The sequence below is a fragment of the Homo sapiens genome, chromosome 1 (assembly GCF_000001405.40).
Source record: "Homo sapiens chromosome 1, GRCh38.p14 Primary Assembly".
NCBI classification, from domain to species: Eukaryota; Metazoa; Chordata; class Mammalia; order Primates; family Hominidae; genus Homo; species Homo sapiens.
In genome coordinates, this window is record NC_000001.11 from 106,447,707 (window position 1) to 106,467,784 (window position 20,078).

Here is a 20,078-nt window from a genome sequence, read left to right on the forward strand (position 1 = left end):
AACTGATCTAATCAGGTAAACCTTTAAAAAAGACAGGAAGCAGAAGCAACCTGCCCTGTTTTGGAGAGAATCTGGTGACAGGAAACAGTGAGTAAGAATGGCTCCCAGTTGATAATCAACAAAATAGGGACCTCAGTTTTATGATTACAAGAAACTGAATTATGTTTAACAACAACAACAAAAAAAAAAACTTGCAGAAGGTTCTTAAGGAGATTGCAGCCTCAGCCAACACCATTATTTAAGCTGTGTGAGAAATGAAACAGAGAATTCCAACCTACACAACTGTGAGGTAATAAAGGTATCTTGTTTTTTAACTGTGATAATATATCTACATCAAGCTTACCGTTTTAACCATTTTGAAGTGCACAGCTCAGTAGAATTAAATACATTCACACTGCTGCAAATCACCACTACCATCTCCAGAACTGAAACTGTGTGTCCATTAAACAAGAATTCCTCAACATGTCTCCACTCAACAGCTGGTAACTACTCTTCTACTTTCTGTCTATGATTTTAACTCTTATATGTATCTCTTATAAGTGGAACCATGTAAAATTTGTATCTTTATGTCTGGCTTATTTCACTTACCATAATGTCTTCAAGATTCATCCACGTTGTAACATATATCTTTTTAAGGATGATTAATATCCCACTGTCTATGTATCACATTTTATTTGTCTATTTATTGATCTTTAAATAAATATTTGAATTGGTTCCTCCTTTTGGCTACTATGAATAATACTCCAGTGAACATTGGTGTACAAGTGCCTGTTTGTGTCCCTGCATTTGACTCTTTTGTAGGTACATACCTCAAACAGGAATCACTGGACCATAGAGTATTTTGATGTTTAATTTTTTGAAAAATCACCATATGGTTTCCACAGTAGCTGCACCATTTTACATTCCCACCAGCAATGTGTGAGTATTCCAATTTCCCAAGAGTGATTATTTTCTGTTGGTTGTTTTTAATTTTGTTTTTTGTTTTGGGATAATAGCCATATTAATAAGTATAAAGTGGTATCGCATTGTGAATTTTAGTTGCATTTCCTCTTGAAGACTGATGTTGAGCATCTTTTCTGTGCTTATTGACCATTTGTTATATTCTTTGAAGACATGTCTATTCAATGCCTTTGTCAATTTTTTAAAATTGGTTTGTTTCTTATTGTCGAGTTGGGGTTTTTATATGTTCTCTAACCAGATATAACCAGATATATAATCTCTTTATATAATCTCTAACCAGATATAAAATTTGCAAATATGTTTCTCTATTCCACAGGTTGACTTTTTATACTCTTAATAATGTCTTTTGCTGCAAAAAAGTTTTAAATTTTGATATAATCCCATTTATCTATTTTTTCTTTTGTTATTTATGTCTTTAGTGTCATATTTAAGAAATAATTGCCAAATCCAGTGTGAAGAAGCTATTCCTCTATGCTTTTTTTCTAAGAGTCTTATGTTTTTAGTTCTTACATTTAGCTCATAATTCCATTTTTAGTTAATTTTAATATGATGTAAAGTAAGGACCCAACTTCCCAACACCATTTGTTGAAAAGATTTTTGTTTCCTACTTAATGGTCTTGGAATCACTGTCAAAAATTATTTGGCTATATACATGATGTTATATTACTGGGCTCTCTATTCTATTCCATTGATCTATATTCCTGTCTTTATGCCAGCACCACATTGTTTTGATTACTCTAGATTTCTACTACCTTTTGAAATCAGGAAGTATGAGTCTTCCAACTTTGTTCTTTTTCAAATTATTTTGACATCTGGGGTGGTCCCTTTAGGTTTTCTATGAATTTTATAATCAGTTTTTACTATTTCTGCAGAAAAAGAAAAGTCATTGGAATTTGGGTGGGACTTGCATTGACTCTTTATATCACTTTAGGTAGTATAAACATCTTAACAACATTTAGTCTTCCAGCCCATAAACATGGGATGTGTTTTCATTTATTTAAATCTTTATTTCAATAATATATTGTAGTTTTTACTGTGCAAGGCTTTCACCTCCCTGATTAAGTTAATTCCTAACTATGTATTCTTTTTGATGTTATTGTAAATGGAATTGTTTTTATAATATACTGTTCAGATTGTTAGTGTATAGAAATGCACAGGATATTTGTGTGTTGACTTTGTATACTACTTTGCTGAATTTGTGTATTATATCTAACAGGTTTTCTTTTGGAGATGTTTAAGATTTTACTCATATAAGACCTTACCATTTATGAACAGAGTTTATTTTACATCTCCTTTTTCAATTTGGACTCTTCCTTCCTTCCTTCCCTCCCTCTTTCCTTTTTTTTTTTCCAAGGTTTCACTCTGTCACCCAGACTGGAATGTAGTGGCGTGATCATGGCTCACTGTAACTTCAATCTGCCAGGCTCAAATGATCCTCCTGCTTCAGCCTTCCAAGTAGCTGGGACTACAGGCATGCACCACCCATACCTGGCTAATATTTTTTTATGATTTTTAAAATTTTTGTAGAGACAGGGCCTGACAATGTTGCCCAGGCTGATCTCAACCTCCTAGATTCAAGCGATCCTCCTGCCCAGGCCTCCCAAAGTGATGAAATTACAAGTGTGAGCCATCAAGCCCAGCCCATTTTTATTCTTTATTCTTGCCTGATTGCTCTGGCTAGGACTTCCAGTATTATGTTGAATAGAAGTGGTAAAAGTAGGCATCCTTACCTTTATCTTGACCTTAGAGGAAAATATTTCAGTCTTTCACTGTTGAATATAATGTTCGTTGATTTTTCCTATAGGGCCAATATCTATTGTTTTCATCTACCAAATTTATCGTAAGTTGTAGCAATATTGTTTATGGTAATACATAGCAATAAAAAACTAACATAATAATGAAGAAATTTCTAATTCTATTTAAATAAAGTAAAACACAATTATATGTTTTCTCTATATGTCTCTCTATCTCCTTTTAAGGAAAAGAAACAAAAGAAAATTTGAAAGGGGTGATGTTCCAACATATCAAGTTCATGAAGGGACATAATTATGCTGTTATGTGAAAGAATCAACTCTGTGTGCTCAGCAGACCATCCAGACACATCCTAAGCATTGTGTCTCCGAAGTAGATCAGTTTAGCTGTGACATCCTATAGCAGTATCTCTATTATGTGTCCTGTTCTATTCATCAGCATCTCAACCGAAAAGGTAGGAAAAGTTAGAAGCTCACTCCTGGAAACAGTCTGGGTTTGTCTATCAGGACAGCTATTTATAATGCTTGCCTGCCTTTGCTATCTTCCAAAGAGTTTAGTCTGAGGATAAGACAGAATAACAGCATAAAGTGTATGTGCACAAACATGCCCACACATATGCACATACACACAAATACACAAACATATACATCAATCTTACTGTGAAAATATAAAATGTGTTACATATGCAGTCATATTTTAGAATGGAGCTTATTCTCACCTCTCCCTCTCTCTCTCACACTCAATTAATATTTCAACTGCTTCCTATTCATTTATCAGAAGATTTACATCATATTATTGATCTGTTTCAGACCCTCTCTTTCACAGAATTTTGTGAGGATTGGGGATTATTTTTTCTTGTCTGCAATAAATCTAATATGTTCTTTAAAAAGGACAATCATTTGACCGAATGTATGTGGAATGGAGAAAAGACGTGTGAAAATTTCAGGAAAAATATAAATACATTTTAAGATGTATTAACTAAATCCTGCACTTTATTTCTTGTGTAATTTATTACAACTATCTTATAAATTTATAGACTCTAATGTCTGAAGTCAAACCTCTTGTCTCTAACCATATCACCCTAAGAACAATGACTCTGTAGCCAGACTACTTGGGCTCAGATCCTGAATACAGTATGTGCTTGTTTCATAACTTTGGGTGAGTTTCTTAACCTGTCTGCTAATAGTATCTAGGTCTTAGCATATTGTGAGAAATAAATCAATATATGTAGTGGTACTTAGAACAAGGTCTAATACCCACTAAGTAGTTGACATCTAGCAAGCATATCACATGTGTATTTCAACTGTGCATTTTGAACTAGGGAAATAATCATAAAGTAGGTTTTAGGAACCACAGGTTCCACTGAAATAAGAATCTGAGCAAAAATTACATTGATAATCTTACTCCCCAAGCCTTTATTTTGACTACCAGTAAAACAAAATGGCGTATTATGTCTCCAGGAATTCATATTATTTCAGAACCAGGGCCCCAGTGATCCCTGAAAAAGCGTGCTTATTTGTCTACCTTCAATGCACAGACACACCCTGGTAAATGTGACAGTTCCTTTTGGAGAATGCAGGGAGAAAGACAGAAGATATACATGTTTGACTGTGTGGGCAAGGTCCTTCCTCAAAGAGACAAGCTTCCCCTTCATTCAAAGGGCTGTGGATCTGTGACTGCCTGGAGGGTGAGAATTTTGATTCAAGTCAAACTTCTTTTTACTATGTTTAGAACTTTTCTACTTACACAAATCAAAGAGGATTTTAATAGACTACCACCGCATTTCAATTCTAGAGAACCATGACCATTGAGCTAATGCAAGAGATCTCTGCAGATCAAAGCATTTGGGACACTCCAGCTCTGCAACCTATTGCAGTAACCACGATGGCAGCTGGCCCTGACACTCTGGGATCCCATCAGCCTGATTGCCTTCAAGGTGCCCACTTAAAAGGCAGCATTTCTAACTGTCATTGCAGCGAATATCTGCACTGAATTCTTCACAGATTCTGGGCATCTCCTCCCCAAATTTATTTTCTTACAGCTTTGGAGATGGGAATTTTCTGGGGTCCTTTTGGGGACACATAATTAGAGGTAAACTGTCTGTCATATGTGATAAATCCACCCTACTCTTCCAATCTTCCTAAGCCATTTGATGCATTTCTCCGTACCAAGAAAATTCAAGCATCCTAACTTCATTTAGTGAGAGTAATCCTTTAATGAAACAAGCAAGCAAGCAAGCAATCAGAGTCACTCTTAGATACTTAACATTTCAAATTCAATTTAGAATCTGTGGTCTAGAATATTCATACCAACAAATTCAAGAAAAATATTAACATTATATTCCTTCCAATCTGATCCAACATTCATGAGGATCTATTTCTCACATGTTCTTCAGGTTTCTGACAATACTAATTGGCAAAATTTTAAGAATTTTGGTATGGTTTTCACCTTCACATAGGCCACATTTTTATAATCTCACCCTCTGGGATTAGAGTCTGATTGTAGGTCTAGAACCAATGAGAGGTTAAGGGTTATGTTTTAAAGATCAGCAGTCCCCTGTAATTCAAATACTTCAGAAGAGGCTGTTACACATTCCTTAGGCAGAAGAAAACTAACTTTTTCAAACAAGGGAGAAAGGATGTTTCTAATGATAAAAGAAGCACAGAAAAATTTAGGATTAAATTCCCTAGCTTCATTAGAATTTGTTTCATATAATCCCATCCATATTTTCAGAGTATAACTCCTTATGAATATCCTAACTTTAATATGAAAGATCCTGTGAAGTTGTAAATTTAATTGCTTTTTAATTTAGCTACTAACAGAGTTAGAGTTTTGGTGAGGTTTTCAGAAATCTCAGTCCTTTGGCTACAGAATACAAAAGTTTATTTTAAGGAAGACTTAGAAGTGTTCTCATTTCTTGTATTTGACTGGAAAATTAAAACTTTGAACTCATTATTTACTTTTCCCAAGTCCTCAAGCACAATCAGAAGTAATTAACCAAACCCCATTACCCTCCTTATTTTTATAAAGTAATCTGTGGCAGAAAGTATTTTGTCACCAAAAACCTTTCCTTTTATAAACATTTGATTACAGGTGTCTACAGGTTATTATAAGTAATAATTTTGCCATGGATTAACGGTGTCCATATTACCATTCTCCGTGGGATCATTAATGTCTTGAAATATAATTAGATCAAATATCAATTCCAGATAGCCCAGAGCCATTACAGAGAACACTTCCAAAAAGTTTTTTTTTCCCCTGGAACTTTTTCTAATATGAATTTCTCTATAATTTGCAGTTCAGTCAGAGAAGTAGAACCACTGAGTTATATAATAAAGGGCTAATTATAGGGAATCCACCATATGCAATTGTGAGTACTATAGAAAGTTGTTGACTGTGATAAGAGAATGAAGTTACTGTAGATCAGGAAGGCCACTAGTCAAGATAAAACGCCAGCCATAAGGCATCGGGGAGCGCAGAGCATTGTAAACCCCGCCTCTGTCTCTCACCACACGCCAGCTTGGTGATACAGTGATGTGGAAAAGAAGCTGATACTTTTCATCTGGACCACGGTTTGGGAAACTTAAGAAAGAGATCCAGTGGGATCTGTAATCTCTGCAACCCTGGCTGCTGCCCTACACCATCTCTGTGTGACAGAAGATCAGTGACAATTTGTGTGAGATATAGTAGTGCTTTCCCCTACACTGACTTTCAGAGAGTGGTGGCTGCTGCTACACTTTTGCCTTGCAAATCTCACACAAATCTCTCCTGAGGCCAAAACTAACCTGCAAAAGTAATAATAGGAATTGTAGTTCCAATAGTTAATTTTGTACAAAGCTATCAGATAGATAAATGTCATGATTTTAAGCTACAAAATTCAATAACTCTGGGAACATTTTGGAAATCAGTCTTATTCTGGCCTCATTATTCCATTTTGACTCATTATTTCAGCCCTCAGACCTTCAATTTGTAGAGTTACACTGCATCACATTTTGACCTGTTGCTTAACACTATTAAAAATTTATACTTTATAGGCCAGGTGCGGTGGCTCACGCCTGTAATCCCAGCACTTTGGGAGGCCGAGGAAGGTGGATTATGAGGTCAGGAGATCGAGACCATCCTGGCTAACACGGTGAAACCCCGTCTCTATTAAAAATACAAAAAAAAAAAAAGTTAGCTGGGCGTGGTGGCGGGTGCCTGTGATCCCAGGTACTCGGGAGGCTGAGGCAGGAGAATGACGTGAACCTGGGAGGCGGAGCTTGCAGAGAGCCAAGATCGCGCCACTGCACTCCAGCCTGGGTGACAGAGCAAGACAGAGCAAGACGGAGGGACAGAAATCACTCCATCTCAAAAAAAAAATAAAAATTATACTTTATAAGTGGGTTTAGTTTCCATTAAGTGTGATATTATTTCTCTAAGTCAGGTTCCATGGTTTCCATGTTCAATATCATGTTTGTTTGCACATAATATAGCCCAAATGCATGGAAATTATAAAAAATAAAGACTAAAACTCCAAATATTAACCATATAATTTACTGACAATTTCATTCAAACCAATTAAGTTCCAAGATTAGGGCTTCTTATCCCTGGTTCTTTGTGACTCAGATTCACAATAACTAATGACCCATAGCACAAGGCATTTGACTAAATATATATGTGTGTGTGTATATATATATTTTTTGTTTGTTTGTTTGTTTGTTTGTTTGTTTTTGAGATGGAATCTTGCTCTGTCACTCAGGCTGGAGTGCAATGGTGTGATCTTGGCTCACTGTAACATCCGCCCTATAGGTTCAAGCAATTCTCTACCTCAGCCCCCCTAGGAGCTGAGATTACAAGCCTGTGCTACCACACCCAGAAAATTTTTGTACTTTTAGTAGAAATGGGTTTTCACCATGTTGGCCAGGCTGGTCTTGAACTCCTGACCTCAAGTGATCCACCCGCCTTGGCTTCCCAAAGTGCTGGGATTACAGGCACGAGTCAACGTGCCTGGCCTTGACTAAATATTTTTAATAATCTTGCCAAGTCCGAAAAACTTATGATTGGGAAAAGTTCTTGAATTATAAAACACTTATTACCTAGTGCCAGAGTGTATTAGACATAAAAATACATATTTAAATAGTTGCTCTGGTGATTTAATTTGTATATAAATTTCTTGCTTTTTAATGTAGCAGGAGACATTCTCTGCCTTTCATGCCATCCAACATGGAAGCTGTCTATTAAAGGATGTCATACTATTATTCCAGTTGTTAGCAATGGTTTCTGCCACTACTACATATGCAGTATTCTGAATTAGTTTATTTCATGCAAAAACCATGTATTAATCAGGGTTCTCCAGAGGGACAGAAATCACAGGACAGATGTATATATGAAGGGGAATTTATTAGGAGAATTGTCTCACACGATCACAAGATGAAGACCCACAATAGGGAGGCTGCAGGCAGAGGAGCCAGGAAACCAGTCCAAGTCCCCAAACCTCAAAAGTAGGAAAGCCGATAGCACAGCCTTCAATCTGTGGCCAAAGGCCTGACAGCCCCTGGCAAATCACTGGTGTAAGTCCAAGAGTCCACAAGCTGAAAAACATGGAGTCTGATGTTTGAGGGTAGAAAGCATCCAGCATGGGGGAAAGACGGAGGCCAGAAGACTTAGCCAATCTAGTCCTTCCATGTTCTTCTGCCTGCTTTTATCCTAGCTGCACTGGCAGCTAATTAGATTGTGCCCACCCAGAGTGAGGGTGGGTCTACCTCTCCCAGCCCAGTGACTCAAATGTTAATCTCTTTTGGCAACATCCTCACAGACACACCCAAGAATGATACTTTGCATCCTTCAATCCAATCAAGTTGACACTCAGTATTAGCCATCAAAAACCGTAATGTTTCTGACTCTAAAATCTTAATTAATTTTTTATAGAACATATCCTACCAGCCATTTAACAAACCTGCTATACTAGTTTAATGGATTTACACATGTGTGTATTTAACTTGCATACGACGTGATTCAATCCATGTGATGATTGAATAGGTATTACTGCAGAATTAACAAATAGACTAAAGTAAAACATCTACTGAGAAAAATTATTGATCCCAGAGTATTATTCCAGAAATGTGTTTGGAAAAATAAACCAGAATCTTTACATAAATTTCAATAAGGATCTATTCCATAATTGATTGATCATCAATATCTTTCCAGAATAGAAGAAAATCTAAAAGATATTTTATCATTCATTTTCAGTTATTTTTAATAACATTTTAAAAGTTTTCTCAGTAAGCCTTTTTCTCATCTTATTTCTGTGAAAATCTATTTTTTAATGGTCTTTTTCCCTTGGTTGTGTTCACTTTCACTCACTCTTCTTTTTGCTTAATTCGTTTGTATTTTCAATTATAGATACCCATTAAGCATAATTCTTCCTCCGTATTATTATTTAACTCTTGGTGGAGATAAACGTTTCCTTCTTTGTTCTTGACTGTAATGCATACATTCCTGTGATAGGCTCTACAGTAATTTATTCCTCTTATTTCTTTATATGTCTGTCACCTTCTACAACCCTGGTAGCACTTCAGGAGTAGAGACTACGTTTTACTTTAAATCCTCAATGTCAAGCACAGTATCAGTATAAGCAGGCAGTTAGTGTGCATTTGACTGAAGGATAAATGAGTAGATGACTGTAATAAAATAAAAGTGCCCTAGGAATTAGAAATTGCTTTTATCTTCGAAGATATATTTAGGAATCCATGAAGCACAAATAGAGTAATATTTGTACAACTATTAGGAATAAGCTGCAAGAATGAGGGTTCTGTAGGATTATAGTCATTAGTGGCATGTCATTATTGTATTTATTCATACACTTTGCAAATGTGAGACAGAGGAATAGCAATCAGTGTGGTTAAGCAGCACATGTTTGCAGGGTTAATTTAATACCTATCTCTTGCAGCTCTTCTCTCTGCTCACTGAAAATGAGAAATCTTCATTATGAATTAAGGAAAAAATATATAAAAAGTTAAGAATCACTGCTCTGTGGTTTAATAGAAACCATAAGTTAAAATATAAATAAAATTTATATGAGACCAATTTAAAAACACATTGCCCATGGTTCATTGTCTGGCTGCTGCTCCGGACACTGATGAATCTTTACATCAAAGTATGGAATAATTGATGTTTGCACACATATTACTATCTAGTTTCATCAGGCTTCAGGTATTTAATGTGATAAAATGTATGAATTATGATTTCTCCCAGTGACTTTCTACAACAGCCATAATTACAAAGGCTCAGGCCATTTTTTTTCTCTTTTAATGTATGACTACCTGGAGAAATAATTTAAAAAAGGACTTAATTTCTTTCTTCATTTAACAGTATTGCAAGTAAACTTTGGGCCCCAAAGCTGGCTATTGTAGCAAACAATTTTTTTAGCTTAATTCTTTATTTAATTTCTATTGTCTTTCTATTGGATTCTTACATATCATTTGAAAGATTGAGGGGCTCTTATTTTGCTTGTACACCTTAGAGGTGAATCAAGTCAACCTAAAATGTATCCATTTTTTTGTTAACTTAGAAGCATATCTAAACCTAAAACTACTTGGGAAAGGAAAGAATGGCTTTAAGAACACTCTTTGCTGTCATCATGCAAAGGAAGTATTAAATTCTGGTATTCTGGTTTTAAATAGATACATACATATGTGTGTGTGTATGTGTGTGTAATATTTATATAAACACATACATACACACATATAAGTGTGTGTGCATATATATACACATATATATATACACACATATATATATGCACACACACATATATATGACTTACGTGATTTAAAATTTAAGTCTCTTCCAAGGACAGGAGGTATTATTTCAAATATTTTGAGTGAGGCAGACATTAGAAAAACTTTTTTTTTAAAAAAAAAGTAGAAAATGAAATATGTATTTTCTGGCTCAGTCATTCTGAATACTTTCAGACTTGATGTATCTTATTGTGTGCTACTTGATTTTTGAGCCATTTCAGTCCTAAAGAACATGTGATTTAATAATGGCTCCCATATCAATGCTTCAAATTGGTTCCATATAAATACCTCTAATATGAAGTCTTCTTGGTACAAAGCCCATCTAGACAGAGGTTAAGGTAAATTTGTTTTAAGGAAAATCTGGTATACAGAGAATGTGTTACATTGAAGTTATTATACATTTTTAATTAAAAATAATTTCCAAATTTTATGATATCTCTAGGGTGCTATAAAACTGGGATTTGTAATCACCAAGAAAGACCATTTACCATATGGTTTCACATAGTATTATGGCTTTTGTAAGTAACAGTTTTGCCTTTAGGTATATGTTTGTCAAATATGCTGAAAGGACATTATACGCTTTTTCAAGTTTAAATAAAGGAAAAATATGTTAATTCAACATTTTTATATATCTATATCTTTCTTGTAATCTCAGGTCCTCATTAATGGAATGCCCTCGGGGGCACTTAAGTGCAACTAAGCATCAGTTGTAAATGCATTATGACTTTATTTTCTTCCCAGAAATAGAGTCTCGATCTATTTCCATTCTTATAAATTATAAACCTCCACTGCCTGTTGCTGAGGCTTTAACTGCACAGAAGCAGAGTTCTCGGCTTGTCAGGCATTAATAATGGCTCTGCCTGTCTGCCCTTCAGCTGAGACATTAAACTGAGGTCTTATCCACTTACCTCTAGTGGCTGCTCAAGTGGAGTTAAAGATCGCACCATGCTTTTCAGAAAGAGGATGGGGCAACCTCAGAGCCTTGACCTTCATTTTCAAAACATGTAATATACAAGGATGGGAGTAAGTTATTACTTTATATCTGAAGGTGCTAACTTGATTTTAATGGTCTATGGAATCCTCAGAATCAAAACAATGATTTTAGAATTTCACTTTAGGATATTTTGAAATTATGAAACATACTGTAATTTTATTTTGTAAAGTCATAAAGAGAATAGTCATATCTGTAATATGATGAGAAATAACTTTTCTATTATAGCTAAATTTAAATTGTCCACATAGCATGTCTTTCAAGAATCCATTACCTAAGTAACATAGATTTGGGGAGGTAGCAAAGTAGCTCTCATTGATTTGAGACCAGGTCTACATTTCATGTACCAGGTTGCACCAGGAGTTTAGAAGCAGGTAGAATGGTCTGAGATAGGTGGGAACGTTCTCTTGTTGCATCAAGTAATTTTTATTAGTTGCGTAATACCTGAAGCAAATATTCTAATTTAACCTTTGCTCCAGTACATAATATTGTCCAGTATAAAAGCAACTGGAATAGATAAATTGCATTTAAGAGTTAAAGTGATCATGTGGTATTTGAGATCTCACTTATTGAGAGTGATCTCACTTATATGTGGAATCTAAGAGTCAAGTTTATAAAAACAGAGGAGAAATATGGTTGATAGGGTGGAGGGCAGAGCAGGGGATAAGTGGTGAAATGCGATACTGTTTGTCAAAGAATACAAAATTTCAGTAAGACAGAAGAAATATATTCACAAAATCTCTTGTACAATAAGATGACTATAGTGGATAGTAATTTATTGTATAGCTGAAAATTGCTAAGAATACATTTTAAGTGTTCTCACCACAAAAATTGATTAAGTATCTGAGGTTAATGGACATATTAATTATCTTATTTTAGCCATTCCACGATGTGGACATATATCCAAACATTATGTTGTACATCATAAATATATACAATATTTATTTGTCAATCTAAAAATAAATATTTATTTTTAATTGAAAAAGGAATTACAAAAATAACTCAAAGTACATGCATTGGGATTAACAAAAATCTAACTTCCAAGAGCACAATTTTGTTTAATTTTCTAAACTTGGCTACTGGAAGTGAGAAACTAAATGCTGTCACGTGGTTGTATGACATGAAACAGAAAAGTGAAAGCAAGTTTAGTCTAGTTTGTGTATAGTTTGCAAGTTGATAGTCATATAAAATATCTTGAAAGTAGGTTCTTTCCATTTCATTCTATTCTCCCAGGTACTTAACAAAGTACCTGTCACGTATTTGGGTATGAAAAGAATGATAAAGGTACTCAGGAATGAATGAAAGAAAAACATTATCCTTTTAAAAAGAACAAGTTTATATTTTTAAAGAGGTCTCTTCCAAATAAAACTCCAAAGATTAGATTTATCCAAATACTCGTAATCTCAGTAAAGACATACCCTTAGAGTCTTTGAGGTATCTCAGGAGAAAGCCCTGAGGCTACCTCAACAATTGTAGACCACCTCCTTTGGGCATCTATAATAGGAGCAAGACAGCTTTTAACTCATCTGTATCAAAAAAATATATTACACTTTGCCTTACCACCTAGTAGAGCAAAAAATATAAAACGTTGTTTTCCACTTTATAGAACAAAACATTTCAGAAGGAAATGTTTATGTTTCAATTTCTTCCTTGTTAACACCATTCCTCTACCAGGGCTTTATAAAGAAGCCAACCAGTTTAAATGTTTGACTCATATAGACTTCTTGACCACATCTCATTAACCTCTATTATACTACTACCATGCGAGTAATAGATCTCACTGGAAATTTATTTATTTATTTATTTATTTATGGAGATGGAGTCTTGCTCTGTCTGTCGCTCAGGCTGGAGTGCAATGGCATGATCTTGGCTCACTGCTACCTCCGCCTCTTGGGTTCAAGCACTTCTGCCTCAGCATCCCAAGTAGCTGGGATTACAGGCATCTGCTACCACGCCTGGCTAATTTTTGTATTTTTAATAGAGATGGGGTTTCACCATATTGGCCAGGCTGGTCTCGAACTCCTGACCTCGTGATCCGCCCACCTCAGCCTCCCAAAGTGCTGGGATTACAGGCATGAGCCACCTTGCCCAGCCTTCACCGGAACTTTGAACTGACTAGTTTGTTGAGATCATATAAAAACAACAGACACAGGAAGAAAGCAGAGAGATAAAAAAGCTATCATCCGGCTGGGCGCAATGACTCACACCTGTAATCCCAGCACTTTGGGAGGCCGAGGCTGGCAGATCAGAGGTCAGGAGTTCGAGACCAGCCTGATCAACATGGTGAAACCCCATCTCTACTAAAAATACAAAAATTAGCTGGGCATGGTGGTGCATGCCTGTAATCCCAGCTACTCAGGAGGCTGAGGCAGGATAATCGCTTGAACCCGGGAGGCAGAGGTTGCAGTGAGCCGAGATCGCACCACTGTACCCCAGCCTGGGAGCAAGACTCCGTCTCAAAAAAAAAAAAAAAAAAAAAAAGCTATCATCTCTAGTTTTCTTTAGGTATGTGTAATATTTGATTTGGAATCTGTGAATTGGATTAAATTATTTCAGTTTCTATATTGACGATATATAATCAATCACATGTCCAAAAGCATGTTTCATCTTTTCATAAGACTAAACCAGAGTGACTCTGAACTGAAAGCAAAAATTATCAAATATTTGTAGAATGATTTCATCAAAGGAAGGAGTAATAAAAGAATAATGAGAGGACCACCTTTGCACAGTTGAAGCTTAGCTTCTGCAATTGAAGTGACAACCTTGATAGCCAGGTAGCTATGTCCAGCACATCACAGCTCTTCATAAAACTCCCTGTGTAGTCATCACAATGAGAGGCTCAATAAGAACTCTAAGAGAAATAAACCTGAAAGAAGAGAAAAAACTTTTCTGTACAAATATATTTTAAGTACATTTATTATGGCAAAGTAATTTTTACTGCAAATATGTCATGCTGAATTAGATTTTTCCAATATGTAATCTACTATATTGAAATAAATTAGAAATTTTGAAAGCTGCATGAATATTTTCAAACCACTATCAGAAATACGTATTAATGATATCTTAAGAAGCTGAAAAACAATTTCTAAAAATGCCTAATTCAGGCCGGATGAGGTGGCTCACACCTGTAATCCCAGAACTTTGGGAGACCTAGGCGGGTGGATCATGAGGTCAGGAGTTCAAGACCAGCCAGACCTGCCTGGCCAGGATGGTGAAACCCCATCTCTACTAAAAATACAAAAATTAGCCGGGTGTCGTGGCACCCACCTGTAATCCCAGCTAGTCAGGAGGCTGAGGCAGAGAATTGCTTGAACCCTGGAGGCAGAGGTTGCAGTGAGCCGAGATCGCGCCCCTGCACTCTAGCCTGGGAGACAGAGCGAGACTCCATCTCAACAACAACAACAACAAACAAAAACAACAAAAATGCCTAATTCAAGATAGGCATATAAAATGCCAACATTAATTCAATTCAATTATCTAGCAAAGGGCAAAAAAGTCTTAATTACATGTATTTAAAATTTTAAATGTAAGATAAATCACTTGGTATTATATGTCTAAAGGTATTTGCAAATGTAGGAAATTTCCTGTTTTCAAAGACTGGGTATAGCATGGAAATAGTATGGAAGGCTTTACCTATGCCTTACACAAATACAAAAGTATAAATATATATATATATATCTAAACTAATGGTCAAAATTACTGAAAATTTGTATAGAAATATAAAAGCTGTGGTGATAATTAATAAATAAATAAGGATCAAGTTACCATTCTCAAAACACCATTATTATAAGAGATGACTTAAGATGCTAGGCACTTTTGTATTCTCCTTGAATATATAATAGTAAAAAAAATAGACACCATGTCTTGATTAATTACAAGTGCACCACCTTAGTTAATCTTTAAAACAAACCAAAGCACACAGATATCAATTGTCTTGCTGGAAGTCAACAATTCAGTAACTATAAGAATATTTATGAACCTAGTTCATCTGAAGTCAAAGCCTGTGTTTTGAGCTTTTATTCTGTCCTCATGAGTAACTCTAAAAATATGAAGCTAGAAGTATAAATAACTTGAAATAAATTTAGTTCAAGTTCTTAATTAAAGTGATGGAGCTAATTGTTCAAATATTGCAATTTTCATATTTTCCAAAGCCTTGCCTGGAAAATTTATAAATTTAAATATGCAGCTTAGGTAAGCAGAATTTAAATTTTTAGTGGTTGAAGATATTTAGAATGGGGTCTTAGCCTCAGACACTTCAGAAGCCCATATCTATTCAAATTATAAAATAAAGATAGGAACATTTCAATTTCTTTAAAACTGTGTTTAATGACAGCAGTGTCTTTCTGGTGCTTGTCTCAAAGTCAACCTGTAGCCATGGCATCATAGATTTAAGTAAAGCTATATCATTAAGGGAGAATGTGAGAAATAATATTGAAAGGGAACAAATAATCCTGCTCCCCCAGGATACAGAAATAATGTCATATAATAGGAAACTTTATATGAAATTCAATCCAGATCACTTTATTTCTATTCTTCTTTATTTGATTACCTTATCATCTTCCAAGACCTGCAGCCTAATGGGAGTTCACAAAAAAAACAAGATTTCATGTCTATATCCTGAAGTGTAATAAAGGGGGAAAAGAATTGTATGCCAAAGTCAAAAACCTAAGTTTTTCTCTTGATTTCACCACTATCTACTTTTGATACCTTGGAAAATCATTTAATTTCTCTGAGACTCTTTTCTTCATTTGTAAAATGACAGTAATTATACGTGCTCTGAGTTTTTGTGAGAATCAAATGAGATAATGTGTGTGAAAATGCTTTGTGGATTGTGCAAATATAAGTTGCTCTTTTGCAGTGAAGAAGATAATTTAATAACCAATCTCTTCTCAAGATGAGTATAAATCAAAAAGCCATAAGAGCCTTGAAAAAATAATGTATTTTTGACATCTTTGGTCTTACTACCAATCTAAGAAACTTGTGAACTAAAGTAATAGTCAAAGGACAGGGACAAGTATTTGGTTCCATCACGGGGAGAGCCAAGCCTGAACCCAAAGATAGGGGAGAATGAGGCACAATGACCCATGAACACTGAGTCAGCAGTGCAGGTCTGTAGGGTGGCATCTTTCAAAAAGATAAAAATGACATTTCTTCATTTTTGTAAGTATTTTGAATTTCTGACATATCATACATACACATTAAATTATGCATTTATTTATTTTTTTTTTTGAGACAGAGTCTCGCTCTGTCACCCATGCTGGAGTGCAGTGGCTCAATCTCAGCTCACTGCAACCTCTGCCTTCAGGGTTCATGCCATTCTCCTGCCTCAGCCTCCCAAATATCTGGGACTGCAGGTGCTCGCCACCATGCCCGGCCAATTTTTTTTTGTATTTTTAGTAGAGACGGGGTTTCACCGTGTTAGCCAGGATGGTCTTGATCTCCTGACCTCGTGATCTGCCTGTCTCAGCCTCCCAAAATGCTGGGATTACAAGTGTGAGCCACCTCGCCTGGCCTTAATTATGCATTTTAAAGATAAATTTGAATGATTTGAATAGATTAGCCATGGTCTTACTCTGTTGGCATCTATTGAGATAAGTAAATATGAGTGTGCTAAAAAAAAATTCAAAATTTATTTTTCATGATGACTTATCAGATTTCTTAATGCATTTATTTGTTTAAAAAAGCTGCTTGTCACCTAACATATATATATATAAACATAAAAAAAAACAGTAAGATCAGCTCATTCACAGTTTTACCTAGCAATCATATCAAACATTCCTCTAAGAATTGTAAATATGAAAAAAAACAGAAAAAGCTCTAGCTTTAAAAAAGACTTAGTTGTGAATATTAATTTTACTCATCAATGTGTAGTGATTTGACTACTGTTTTATTAGAAAGGGAAGGGATAACGCTTATGACATCGATCTAGGAAAGGGCAAAATGAGGAAAATCTGTTAGTTAAACAAAACACAGGAAAATCACAGTTGTGATTTCACATTTTATTTTCAAAAAAAGAAGATAGAATATCCTTTCAAGTTGCTTTCCCCTAGGGCCTCCAAAATAGAACACTGTATTGAAATCAGCAGGTCATGTACGAGAAGATGGTTTAACTGCTAATTAACACTAGATGATATGCTGAGAATTACATGCTAATTAATTCTCTGTAAGGCTAAATGCCCTTTCTTCTATGTCATTTTCAATGAACACATTAATATTAAGACTAAGGTAGCATGTTTGTCATATGAATTCGTAATCAAAAATTAGTGTATGTCAAAAGTTGGACATATCAGAATTTTTCTCTTAAATAGAGGTGATTGAAGTACGGAAAGTACTTACTGGAGAAAACACAGACACGTCGAAATGCCATTGTGGATATTTTGAAAATATAAAAACATTACAAGACAAAGAAAGAAAGTAAGAGGAGTTCCAAATCAAAAGGATTCCTTCTGGTAAACCCTTAATTTCAACGGTGTTGGACAAGTCTATGGTACAAAGGCATTGTGTGAATAAGACCTAACTCCACATTGGTGAGAAGTCTAGAGCAGTCTTTTTAAAAGCATTTTCCAGGTTGTAGACAATGATGAGGCAGAATTTGCCTGCTTGGCCAAAGAGGATTATTTTCCCTGGGGTAAGGCATGCCTACAGATAAATTGGGATTTGGAAGGTAGCCAAAAGTTGGTAGCTTCACTATGTATTCCTTCCAGAAAGCTCAGTATTTTTCATTGTGGTTAACATGTCTCACTGGCTTGATAATAATATCTTAATCACTGCTTCCTCTGTATTCTTCCAAGGGCAGGGAGGTTCAGCTGTGTAAGAATCTGTCTACCACAAATAAAAACTATCAAACGGATTTTAAAACCTCTGTGGTCGACCCTTTTGTAAAAGCTTCACTATCAGTCTGCTTTAGATGTGATTTGTCTGCTTATTTATTTATTGCTTTCATGCATTATTCTATTTGGTCTACAACATTTAAAAAATACCTAAATATTTTACAATCATTAAAGCTGGCTGGAGAGCTTTAGAAAAACATTGTTGCAAAAGAGCTCCAAGTGAAAGGCTCTCTTTTGGTGATGTAAGGTTGAAATGTGACTGAATATAACAATTATAATTTTTCATTTGCAAAATAATTCATCTCTTGAGTAAACATTAGTTGTGCATTCATTTTTTAATAAGAAGAAATAGGCATAGCAACTCAGAAATGATAATGTGCACCCAATAATGCATATTACACGAGGATGTTGTTTTGCTTCGTATTGACAAGTTTTTTTTATAAAATAGCAATTTTATTTAGAAAGGCCAAATTAAAGTTCCACAAATGAGAATATATTGCATTTTAACTAACGGAATTGGTACATAGTCAAAGTCAAAAGTGAATTTTCATTGATAATACTTACAAAAAAGTCAAAGTATATAGTGTAAGAAGACTTAGAAGGTTGAAAAAACTAGAGTTTGATGGCTAACACTGCAATTTAATTGCTTTGTGATTTTGCATAAGTTTCTCAACTTTAGTCCTTTAGTTTCCACATATGTAAAATAAATATATTAATACTTGCAGCATCATGGTCTTGTAATAATTAAATGAGAAAACAAAAGTGAATTATCTAACATATGGTCCAGCATATAGGAGGCAATAAATGCTAGAAAATAGTGATTATAGTAAAATTGAACATTTCTTTTTATTTAATCAGTGGTCCCATATATTGAACTCCAAATTAGGTTTGATGCGAGGTAACAATTATTGAAAAGTAATAAATAAATAACACTAACATGAATGACTAGTGCCATGGAAAGAATCACAGATCCTGGTCAATACTCATGAATATCAACAAGTGTTTAATGCATAATTGCTGCTGAGAAATCTGAGTTTGGTCCTGGCATGTCATTAACTAGCATAGTCTCTACAACTAGCCCTCACAAAGTCCTACATCCTAGGGAACAGGCAGTGCAGTTCACCTGGGAGGCTGCCTGTAGGAGCAAATGAGCCAAAGCATACATTCCCCAGAAAGGCAGAGCCTGAAAGCCACCAGCCTGCCTGGGGCCACTCTCACTGACTGCAAACTTATTCCCCATACCACAGGCACTGTGCACTAGCACATGTCCAAAGGACAGTCTCTTTCTGCACACTGCTATCGCTGCCACTACAACTGAGGGTTGAAGCACACACTCCCCAGAGCCTGAAAGCCACCTCATACATGGGGCCACATCCACTGACAAGTCCTCAACCCCACTGTCAGAAACAGGGTTGCTGCACATCTGTATGCACCCTGAGGAGAGGCTCTCCCCAGTCACCACCATGGATCATCACCTTCTGTTAATAACAGCTTGTGCCCATGAATACCACTGGGGAACCTGAGGATACGCCTGGCAAGCCTGTCATTCTCCTCCCTCAATGCTTGAGCACATTGCCTGGGGACTGGGGATCACCCTGCCCAGTCCACCACCACTGTCATCTGTTCACTCGTTCTTGGAACCTTTGTATATGCCCACCCGGTCTACTGCTAACACCACCTCCAGCACCCACCTGTATGAATCAGCTGGAAACCTGGGGCCTAACTCACCCGGCATGTCACAGTCACACCTATTAATAACTTTAGCAAGCA

The 20,078-nt window shown here is 35.7% G+C and overlaps 1 long non-coding RNA gene across 3 annotated transcripts in view; it reads left to right on the top strand.

Annotated features, from left to right (window-relative positions):
* Positions 1–359: 359 nt before the first annotated feature.
* The window catches only part of LOC105378887 (uncharacterized), a 37,615-nt gene continuing 17,896 nt past the window's right edge, over positions 360–20,078 (top strand). The window contains exons 1-4 of one of the 3 annotated variants that reach the window (XR_947673.1): positions 360–482; positions 2,940–3,166; positions 4,250–4,399; positions 4,507–4,845. This is a non-coding gene — a long non-coding RNA (uncharacterized LOC105378887). Of the gene's footprint in view, positions 483–801; positions 919–2,939; positions 3,167–4,249; positions 4,400–4,506; positions 4,846–20,078 lie in introns of those variants that run through there. The other 2 variants (XR_947674.1, XR_947672.1) reach the window with 2 other exon arrangements.